This window comes from Homo sapiens, chromosome 2 (assembly GCF_000001405.40).
Source record: "Homo sapiens chromosome 2, GRCh38.p14 Primary Assembly".
NCBI classification, from domain to species: Eukaryota; Metazoa; Chordata; class Mammalia; order Primates; family Hominidae; genus Homo; species Homo sapiens.
In genome coordinates this window covers 5,928,368-5,940,368 of record NC_000002.12, presented here as the reverse complement: position 1 = coordinate 5,940,368, position 12,001 = coordinate 5,928,368, and the positions used below count along the sequence as shown (strand labels likewise).

The following is a 12,001-nucleotide window of genomic DNA, read 5'->3' as shown; positions in this document are numbered from 1 at the left end:
GGGCTCAAATCCCATTCTCACAGCCTAGCCCAATTTCACTGTCTCCTTTTTTATGTATGTATGTATGTATGTATGTATGTATGTATGTATGTATGTATGTATTTATTTAGAGACTCAGTCACATTCTGTCACCCAGGCTGGATGGAGTGCAATGGTGCAATCTCGGCTCACTACAACCTCTGCCTCCTGGGTTCAAGCGATTCTCCTGCCTCAGCCTCCGGAGTAGCTGAGATTACAGGTGCCCACCATCATGCTTGGCTAATTTTTGTATTTTTCATAGAGACAGGGTTTCATCATGTTGGTCAGGCTGGTCTCAAACTCCTGACCTCAAGTGATCCTCCCGCCTTGGCCTCCCAAAGTGCACGGATTACAGGCATGAACAAGCCACCTCACCCGGCCTCCTTTTGTGTTTATTAACGTGCAGCCTTTTTTGGGGGTTATAGCTTTTGTTGCACTGCACAGATTTCGTATTTTTTACTTCTAGCTCCTACTGTTCTGACACTGTATACTATATACTTCTCTATTTAGATTTTTGCTTCTGTAGGCTGTACACTATGATATGTCCTTCTCTTCCTTTACAGCCTGATGAACTCCTATGCATTCTTCAAAACCCATTTTAAATTATATCTTATCTCAGTACTGTTTCCTAACCATCTCCCTCAGGCAATATAAGTGATTTTTCGATCTATGCTTCTGCAGTTATCCGTACTAGAGTCCTTATTTTAGAGTATGAGTAGATTAGTTATTCTGTATTTGTGAAAGCACTTTTTGAAAAACAAAAATAAAAATGGACCAAAATAATAAACACTGAATTTTTTTTTCTGTAATAGGGTTACATTAAAGGAGATTTTTTTGTAAAACACATACTATGATAAATGTATAATTTGTTATTATGGACGAATATATTCTAACAAGATTATATATTACAATAGCTAGCAAAAATTATCTCTACATAATATGGACTTTTGACAATAAAAAAGGAACAGAAAGAGAGCGAATTAACATACAATAAACACTAAGTAAAAATAACTTTAAAATGAAAGATATTGTCATAAATATATAATGCTTAAATTGTGTTTATGAAAATGACATTTTAAAGCAAACAAATTATTAATTGCCTAATTCATTTGCTAATAATACAGATGTGGAAAAATTTCTTTCATTTTTATGTTAACGTTAGCTGAATTATTGCAGTGTATCCAAAAGCATCTTCAAGTTACGAGTGATGATAACATCTCTTCACATGAGCTCATTTTCTTTTTTAATTATGAAAATATTGTCTGCTTGTCCTGATTTTGGTTTTGCTGCTGAAATCAATATTGGCTTTGCATGTTCCAGGTTTAATCAGTTTCTGATTTTATGATGGGGAATTTCACAACCTTCATATCATCTCTTTGAGTTTCTTCCTTTGAAATATTTACAAAGAATTGAAGTCTATAATGGATACCCACACACTTGGAAAAGCCAGCAACAGGGAATGTTAACTTCGTCTTTAATTTGCATACAGTAGCACATCACGTGGCACAAAACAGCCCACTGTACGTTGTGGCATGTGCGAATGTTTGTTCTGCACATAGAAAGTGTGCTTAAACTCCAGTGATATAACTGTGCAAACTGGAAGGTAAATAATGAACGCTGTAAAGCTCGGGGGAAGAGGAGGCTTCCTGGCAGCCGAGAGTGGGAATACAGCAGGTTGGTAAGGAATGCAGAATGGCAGGGCCAGGAAGGAAAGCCTGGGAGAGAAGCCTGGGGCAGGAATGTCGGGGAGGTGGCTCCGACTAAAGCCCACCCACCTCAGCGCTGTATTTCCGAGTCCACCAGAGTGCTCTTGTTTCCAGCACAGAACCTGGGCCCTTGGCAGCCCCCGTTGCAGCCAGCCCTGTCCCCCAAGCTCATGGCTGGGAAACCAGTCCTGTGAAGGCTGATTGCGTTTTGCTCTAGGCCTGGATAAAGGTGCCTTTTCGCTGACTCAGTAACTCAGGTGGAGCCCTTCTTCAGAAGAGTCACCTCCTCCCCTCGCTGGAGCCCCTCAGTGCATGGTGCATTTAGCTGCTTGTTTACCGGTCATTAAAGCGGTGGTTGGGGGCGGTGAGAGGAGTTGGGGAACTTGGGTCTGAAGGGTGAGGAAAGATAACATCAGCCTCCAGCTTATGACCAATTTCGAAAGCGAGGCACAGGAGTTCTGCAATTGCAAGATAGTGTGTCTTCTCTGCAGATGAGGGGCAGTGGCTCTAGTTATTCCAGCAGCATAAATTCCATCCTCCATGGCCACTCAAATACCACAGGCAGCTGAGACTTGTGTAACCTCTCCTGAGGCTTCCTCCAGAGCTGGTGCAGCGCTCTTGGCAGGAAAAGAGGAGCCAGGAGGAGTGGTTTCCAATCCTAGTTCCACCCTTAAGGAGTTGCGGGACCCTCTGCCTCATCTGTAAAGTGACACAGGCCCCTCCCTCACTGTGCTGATGAGAGATAAGCATGCTAGCAGGCAATCTGCCTGAGTGTTGGATTATTTGAATCTCAATTTCTCCCTCTTGTCTACTTTTCCTCCTGAATGAAGTAAAAAATGAAGGAAAAACAGATTGGGTGTTAAATTCTCATATGTTTAAAAAATTGTAAGGCTTCTCTTTAATTTTCCGCTTTCCCTAAACAGGCCACCACTCACCACCCCAACACCAGGCCCATTCAGTTCCGCTGTGACCTGTGGCCTGATCTCCAAGCAGCCCCTCCCAGCTGATTTTTCCAAGCCAGTATAAGGCACCAGGGTGTTCTGCCTGAACCTTGACGATAACCTCCTCATCAGTCTCACTGCTGCCATTCCTGGCTCCATAAAATCTGCACTTTCAGAGAAGCCAGTGTGATCTTCCCAAGTAGAAACGAGAGCATGGCACTACCCAGCTGGAAAACTCCCCAGAGCTTCCCGGAACACTTTGAAAGAAATACCAAGCCCTTACCTGGCCCTGCCTGTCCCTGGCCTCAGTCTAGGCTGACTCCACACCCTCCTCTTAGGCTCAGCCATGGGCCACACAGGCTGGCCTTCCTTCTGTTCCTCAAACAAGCCCTGCACCACCTAACCCAGGACCTTTGAACCAGCTCACCCTGGCTCGCGATGCTCTCTCTCCCGGCCCATCTTCTCCTTCACAATTGAACCCAATCTTCACCTCCTAAGTAGCCACTTCAACAACTTAGTCCCAATCCAACACTCTCCAGTCCTCATCATTGTTCACCATGTGAATTAACATCCGTCTCCATCTTGTCTTCTTCATTTATTTCTTTATCTAATTTTCTGTGCCATCTTTCATGCCTAGCAGTGCTCCCTGGGAGCACAGCTCCTATCTTTTCTCTGCTTATCTTCAGTGCCTAGAACTGTGCCTGGCAGAGAGTAGGGGAGCAATCAGTATCTGTGGAATGGATGAAAATGTACAGGCAGAGGCAGCACCTACATGTGGCCCTTCATGAAGAGTGTGCATTGTCAATATGCTCTCCATCTTTGCCAATGTAGAAAAGCTCATTGCTGATGCCCTCCCCCCACCCCCCGGTAACTAACCCAACTTCTACCTGCTACACTGGCTCCTCCTCTGAGGATAACTTCTCATCAGGGCTTCAGGTGGCCTCATTTTGGGAGGAGCGTTTTACTCAGATCAAATACGTCTCTCTTTCTTATCTGACAAATTTTTTTTTTTGAGATGGAGCCTTGCTCTTGTTGCCCACGCTAGAGTGCAATGGCTCACAACCTCCACCTCTCACCACAACCTCCACCTCTCACCACAACCTCCGCCTCTCACCACAACCTCCGCCTCTCACCACAACCTCCACCTCTCACCACAACCTCCACCTCTCACCACAACCTCCGCCTCTCACCACAACCTCCGCCTCTCAGGTTCAAGCGATTCTCCTGCCTCAGCCTCCCAAGTAGCTGGGATTACAGGTGCCTGCCACCATGCCAGGTTAATTTATGTATTTTTAGTAGAGACGGAGTTTCACTGTGTTGACCAGGCTGGTCTCGAACTCCTGACCACAGGTGACCCGCCCTCCTCGGCCACCCAAGGTGCTGGGATTACAGGTATGAACCACCATGCCTGGCCTATCTGCCAATTTTTAAAGCCACCAAAAAGAAAAAAGAATGGAATCACTTTTCCATGTCTTCCAGACATCTATCTATATATAGAGAGAGATAAGGACCTTAGGTAGGTAATTTAACTTTGATAAATAAGGTATAAACAAGATTGTCTTAGCTCTGCTGCCAATCTTGGAAGATCACTTACCTTCTCTAGACCTCAATTTCTTCACCCCTAAAAAGAAGGTATTGATACTAGGGGAATGGCTGAATGAATTTTGATAAATGAATATATTCGTGCTAAGGAAGGTCATTAAATAATTTTGAAAAGTGAATGACAAGGAAAAATGGTTAAGGTAAATTCGGAGCTCCAAAATATTAATATATTTCAAATGATGTAGATAACTTTTAAAGTATTTGGGGAAAATATCAAATGATCAGAAGTACATCTAAACGTTAGAGGATTATGCGTGGTTTTTATTTTCATTTTAATTCTCTAAATTGTAACCAGTAAGTACATAAAATATTCATGGCATTACTCCTTTTCCAAATTAATAAACCTAAAATGAGGGAAGTCAACCAGATAATTTCTAAGCTCCCCTCTTGCCCTGCCAGCTTGAGTTGTAGCTTTATTGCATGCACTTCTCATATGGGGATGGGGCAGGGGCAGGGCCAGGGAAGGGACTGACCCACGCTGGGCCTCTCAGAACACTGCATCCCCAGACCCCAGGGCTGTATTTGGGATGTGTTTGTGAGCCGAACAAGGCCCAACAAAGGATCTGAGGATTTTGCGAGAACTCTAGGGAAAGGGGTCCTCTTTTATCATTGGAGTTACTAATGAGAACTGTCAGAGTTCTCTCTGACAATCCATGGAGAGTGTTTGCTTGTATGAAAGAAAATTCAGAAAAAAAGCAAACTTGAGAAGTAGAGAAAAAATGAACAAAAAACAATACTTATATTTGTTGACTTTATTCAGCCCATGGGTCCAGCTGGGTCAAAGTTGTGTTTAATCTTCCTGGTCACCTGACCCGATACATTTCCTCTCTTGCCTAAACTAGTGTGAGATGTGTCGGTCACAACTCAAAGACTCTGCCTCATGGGCGCAGTTAGGCATCCATGCTGTTCCAGCTTTGCCTTTGTAGCAATCTCTGCTCAAAGGATGGTCACATCCAACAGGAAGAACCATGGAGGCTGTGGTCCTCCTCGTCCTGCTGCATGACTAATTAGAAACACTGCATGCATGCACCCAGGCTCCACCAGGAAGATCTCCTCACTGTCTACACCAGGACGAAGTCAGGGCCTTAAAAACCTCTTTGTGCAAATTACCCAAATCCTAAAACAACATATTGTCATCTGGGAGCAAATCAATGCTGGAATAAATAGTCTAACAATGCAACTGATCCTCACTGAGTGTTTGACCTCACTGTCCACCCCACCATTCAATCTTAATTCCATTGTGAGACCAAGGTTCAGCCTCCGCCCCATCCAGCATAGCTCAAACCAAGGCTGGTGCCCTGGAGGAGCTGGGTGCCTTCAACTGTGGGAATCTCTCTCCCTACAGTGAGCCCAGAGCACCCATGTCCCCCAGCCCTTGAGCTGTAGCCTCCCTGAGACCCCCAGTGCTGGTGTCTGGGCTCTGGGTTTCTACTTTGGTTTCCTGGTTGTTGTTGTCAACCAGAGCCACAGTCTTCTTGAGGACCATGAAACTCTTGGAAGCCCCCAGAAATTGTCATCTTCCCAGAAATTGGATATTCTTTCTTCCTCCCCACAGTTGGACAAGGTTCTCCATCCTGTGAGCCAGGCATTGCACTAGACTCTGGATATATCAGGATGTGAAACCACAGTCCCTTCCTTCAAGGAGCACAGATGAATGGGGCAGGGTGTAGATAATAGCAGTACAATCTTATGTAATAGATACAATGCTGGGTGTTTTTCAGGACAAGGAGAGAAACACCTAAAAGATCAGGGGGAGGCGTTTTGGAGGAAGTGGGAGCGCAGCGTAGCCTTAAACAATGAATACAAGTCATTCAGGTCACTGGAGAGGGTGCCCAGCTTAAGCAGAGGCATGAAGATGAGAAATATCGGGAAGCAAGCAGAAAAATACAAGCAATAGTTGTCACGGAAGCAATGAAGCAGGGCATCTCCCACAATAAGGCCAGAAGGGAATATAGCAGCAAGAGAATGGAGATCACGTCCTCCAATATTAACACGGTCAGGCAAAGGAGGAAGCTCGAACAGGGCCCCCAAGGCAGTGGGGGAGGCAAGTGAGATTTAATCAGGAAGCTAAGACCATTCTATTTGCCTTCTGGATGTATCTGTTTGGTATTGAAACAAGAACATCTGCCTGACTGCGAGCACCGTGTTGTCTCTTAACACCAGACTCTGCCCAGTGGATCAGTCATCCTGGAGATTGACTCCAACTGGGGAATGGCTCAGAGTCATCAGAACAATTTGGTCATCATGACAGGGCTTCAGCCATACTGTTCCAAATACGCCCTCATCCCAGAGCCTGACATCACTCCCGGTCTCCTCTCCAACCCTTAGACCTGTCACTGGGGTCTGACATACACAAAGCTAAGCCCACCAGGGCTAGCACCTGCTGAAGTGCCCACCATGAGCCTAAGTCTGGCTCACATCTGCACTGATGTCATCACACAACACAAAACATGGCTGTATTCATTTTACAGGGCTCTGAATGGGTAGCTGACTTCACTGAGACTATAACCTAGATCTCATGGCCTTTCCAAGTTTACACCTGCATCTTGTCATCACCTTTTCTGTCCCAAAGCACAGAGTCCATGGGTAATTTTTAGGTGTGTCAAACACCAGGCCTTGTGCCAAGGACTCAGCAAACAAAGGTAAATAGGGCACAATTTTACCCCTAAGGAGTTTGAACCTGTCATGGCAAATACATAACCATCTTTTTCAATAAAGAACAGAAACACCAAGAGGTTATGTGATTTGCCCAACACCACAGGGCTTCCTGGTGCCGCTAGGACAGGTTCTGAACTAGAACTCAGCACTCCAGACCCCGTGGAATAGTCCATTGCCAGCATTCCATGATGAGTTCACAGACTATGGAGAGGAATCACCTCTGGGGACCTACTGAGCAGACTCGGGGCAGTTGCTGACACATCCGAGAGTCAGACCTAGTTTTCTCCTTGGCTGGATCCTCTCTAAAGCCATCTCCCTGATTTTAGAGTGGGCTTTATGACCCAGGTGCATGATCAGCCTAGCTCTTGCTTTTCAAAAAGGAATTAGGGAAATGCTGAAAGACACTCGGCAAATCAATCTGTCTGATAGCAGCGTCCAGCCTGGCAGACGGACTTGTTCTCATGCACACGGCAGAGACCTGTACCAGACGACCAGCATCTGAACCCCCGAGCCTTGTCTCACCTGAGCAGGGCTCCCTTTGTCACGGTGTCAGCGGCTCCGAGCCGTGAAGGTTCTGTGCTTCCAACGAGGCTCGTCTGGGAGGCATCAGCACAGCTTTTAGCTTCCTTTAGTGAGGCAGTCGTCAAAACACTGCCGGGACTGCAGAATGAAATCTGGATTTGAGAACCCTCTGCAGGGCTGCCAGGGGTGCTTGGCACTGCCTGGCGCCACCAGCCGGTCCAGCTCCAGCCAGACTGCTGACCTGGCACTGGCGCTGCGTGATATAACTCGCTCTCACGGGGAAGGTTTAACTGTCTCTTCCCCAAGCTCGGAGTCCTCCAGTCTCTGTAGGATGCATCTCTCTGTGATGCCCCTCTTCCCACACTCCGGGCTCCTCTCTGCCAGGGTTCCAGCCGTTCAGGGACTCACAGCCCAACCCCTGTAAACATGCCAGCCAAGAATTCATCATTTTTAGCAAAGTAATTATTAATCCCAAGGCTTCTGTTGAAGTCCTTCTCTTTTATTAGTGCTGCCAATTAAAATATATTTAAGCATAAAGATATTTATAAAGAGTCTAGTGTTTTTCCGTAAATACCTATCGATTGAAATCATTTTAAAAAAAAAAAATCTAGCAACTATTCCCTTATTCCTGTATAACACATTGTTCTCATTTAATTTATATGACTTTAAGACTTCATATGGAAAGGATATAGTTGACTGGGGAGACATGGATACAAAAAAAAGTAACCATGTAGGAAATTAATAATGCACATTGGAATATTAATCATGTCGTTGGAAGAATGCAAGAGACACATAAGAGCATAGAACTGAGACTAAGGAGACCTGGAGACCTGGGTTCCAGTTCCAGAAATAACACGAAATTAACTTTAAAGATTTGTGCAAGTTACTTGGTGCCTGGACGTGAGTAGCTCCCCGGCTTTCAAGCAGTTAGGTTGGTTGATTGCCAAAGTCCTTCCCAGCATCACCATTCTAATATATATTTTTAAGCCAAAACACATATACCTGTGGTTTTTAGAGGAAGTATAATACAGCCATTAGAACCACTGAAGACTCACAGGCTTCTAATCCTCACTGCCCCTTCTTAGCTCTGTGACCCGGACAAATTTTCTACAGAGTAGACACCTCAGTATCCCCGATTACAAGATGGGAGAACATTTGCTGTTACATGAGCTGATGCGTCGCTGTTAAGAATTAAATGAGCTAATTTATGCAAAACCAGCTGGAACATTGCTTCATCTATGGTTTTGCACAATAAATGTTAACTGTTATTATTACTCTATTCAATGGTCCTAATTCTACCACAACTATCTTACTAACTTACTAGTTGGCCAGTACTGGATATGCAGTACTTACTATATTTGTGTAGGAGTCATAGTCTTCATGTAACAGGGTCCTGCTAATGCTTTCAAAGATAAGGCCACATCTCTGTGTTAGAAGACAGATTTTTGGCTTAGGGAAAAAAAAATTTATTGAACACTTACTGTATGCCAGAGTACTCTCTAAAACATTTTTTTCTATATCATCTACATGTTTCAGGGCACTATGTAAAGTGTATTCCCTTTTAATAACAATTTAAAATACTCTCAATTATAAAACAAGGTGATTCCAATGCATAAAATGTACATACTTTGCCCAAAGCTATAGATGTGGTTAGTGTTAAATCCAGGAACCAGGAAGTCTAACTCAAAGTAATTCATCATGTCAATTGCCCAAGCTAAAGGGGGATTCAAATGTATACTGCTCAGGTGGTGGGTGCACCAAAATCTCACAAATCACCACTGAAGAACTTACTCATGTAACCAAACACCACCTGTTTCCCAAAAACCTGTGGAACTAAAAATAAAATTAAATAAAATAAAGGCGAATGCAAACAGAAAGTAGAAACTGAAAAGAGACTTTATAGGAGGGCAATAGAGATTGGTCTTTTTGTCTTCAATCTCTCACCTACAACTTTTTTTTTTTTTTTTTTTTTTGGAGACAGGGTCTCACTCTGTTAGCTGAGCTGGAGTGTGTGGTGCAACCATGTCCCACTGCAGCCTCAACTTCCCAGCTCAATCTTCCCACCTCAACCTCCCAAGTAGCTGGGATTACAGACACCATCATAGCTGGCTAACTTTTAAATTTTTCTTTTGTAGAGAAAAGATCTTATATTACCCAGGCTGGTCTCAAACTCCAGGGCTCAAGAGATTCTCCCACTTTGACCTCCCAAAGTGTTAGGATTACAACTGTGAGCCATAGTGCCTGGCCCCAACTTTTTATTGGTGCATGGACATTACAAAAAGTTTTAAAGTATGAGTCTTCAAAATACGTATTGATATGTACATCACATATACCCCACACTGAATAGTAATAATAGTAGCAACAACAACAACTGAGGACGGAAACCTAGAAGGAAAATGTCTCTCTTCCATCAGCCCCTTTCAGGATGATACCACTGATCTCTACTGAGAAAGCCTAACATTCTACCAGCTGACAGAGAGGAAATGTTTACAGGGCCCAGCTGCAAGATTTCACAGCAGGGCGAGAAGGGTGGATTTAAAGCTGAGAGGCAATAAATTGATGAGGGGAAGAGAACATGTAGATGACAGAAGGGTCCTCACCTCCCAAGAAAAGTCAGGATCCACAGCCAGCCTTAGAGGTTTTCTATTTTAATATTAAAATAAAGTAAAGCCTCCTTTTCCCTATGAATCTATCTGTCATTCATTTAATCAAAAATTTACATTGAAATGTTTAATAAGATGGCTGCGGTGCTGAACATCCTTTACAGATATCAAAAGATGCCTTAATGTCCATCTTAGGTGTTCATTCCCTGGTAAAGGGGATCTCCATTTCCTTCTAATCAGTTCCTACTAGTTCTCGGCATTATTAAATGTATATTTTTCAGTCTACGTTTTTTTATATGATTTTGCACAAGCTGTTCCCCTTTCTATAGAATTTTTATGTGAAGTCCAGGTGAGTTCATGACTCCCACCCTATTCCATCTCTATTTGTTCTACACATTTAGATTATTACATTTAAGTCACCCTGTTATATTTATTTACCTATCTATTTCTCTTGTGAGTCTCTTAGTGACAAAAGCAATGTCTTAGTCGTCTTTGTTTCCCTGAATTTTCATCCAGTGTTTCTTAACCTTTGCACATATTGAAATATGTGAGTGGGTCATTCTTCTTTGTAGGGGGACTGACCTGGGCATTGTACGATTTCAGCAGCATCCCTGGCTTCTACCCACTAGATGCCAGTAACATCCTCTTAGTTGAGCCAACCGGAAATCTCCCCAGCCGTTGCTCAACATCTCTCGGGTGGCAAAATCAATGCCACTTGAGAATCACTACATTAGTATGATTACTAGGTCAGAATTAATACTAAACAACTTGGTCATTGAAAAAAATATCAAATTACAATAGAATCCGTTAAATATAATATAAGCTGCAGTCATTTGACAACTAATATGTCTCAATTTAGTTCTGTAGGAAAGAGCAAACTACAAATTCATTTATTTATTCATTTAATTAGTAAATTGAATGAACATACTGACTACTTATTCCATTGTAAGTGCTTTCCTAGCCCTGAATGTAGAGAAGTAAGAAAATTAAATTTCTGTCCTTGCTGGGGTTATCTGATAAAAAGTCTTCCACCTACACACACAAATATACATATATTCTTAGCTAACAAATCCAGCCATCCATCTATGCATGTATTAATTTATTTCACAAATAACTGCTGCTCCTGCTTTGTGCTGGACACCACCATGGCTGTGCTGGGGATATGGAGCTTGATAAGACACAATTCCTGTCTTCAGGCAACCATAGGCAAAGAAAATCTAGTAAACAATTGGGTGCAAGAAAATATTTATTTATGCAATAAACATTTAGGTACAGTGCTACCTACTGATATGATATTGAGCAAAGTTGATACAGTCTCATGCAGCTAACAGTCTAGGAATGAAGACAGACAGGAAGAACATTCTAGTAGAAGCGAGAAGGACCATGGAAGTCCAGGGTGGGTCCACCTGTCTGAGATCAGGGAGTATTTGTGGTGATTTTAACACATGCTCATCAGTTCTCTGACACTCCTTCCACAAAAAGTAGGGTCTGTATCACCTCATCTCTTAAGTTGACTTGAGTGACCCACTTCTAATAGGATGTGGCAGCAATGGAGCCATGTGACTCCTGAGGTTAGAGATAAAAGTTAATATGGCTCTGCTTGGTTTTCTCTATTTTGGGGCTCACCATGGAACTCAGCCAGGATACTGTAAGAAAGTTCAGGCCACATGGCTAGGCTGTGTGTAGGCATCCCAGCTGGCAGTGCTAGCTGAGGCCACAGCCAATGGCCCCATGAACCACCAGACATGTGAGTGGATGAGCTTTTACGCAAGTCCAGCCTTCAAGTTGCTCTGTCTGGGGCTAACTGGAGCAGAAAGGAGCTATCCTCACCAAGCCCTGCCCCAACTGCAGATTTGTGAATAAAAGAAATATTATTGGTTTAAGCCACTGAGTTATGGGATGGTTTGTTATGCAGCCCATGTTTAGTACCTAAACAATATAATGGATTGGA

General features: G+C 43.5%; 1 long non-coding RNA gene across 1 annotated transcript in view; it reads right to left on the bottom strand.

Annotated features, from left to right (window-relative positions):
* Positions 1-7,682, bottom strand: part of SILC1 (sciatic injury induced lincRNA upregulator of SOX11) — a 47,532-nt gene extending 39,850 nt beyond the window's left edge. Inside the window, exon 1 of the long non-coding RNA NR_026832.1 lies at positions 7,448-7,682. This is a non-coding gene — a long non-coding RNA (sciatic injury induced lincRNA upregulator of SOX11). The remainder of the gene's footprint in view (positions 1-7,447) is intronic.
* Between the last annotated feature and the right edge of the window lie 4,319 nt (positions 7,683-12,001).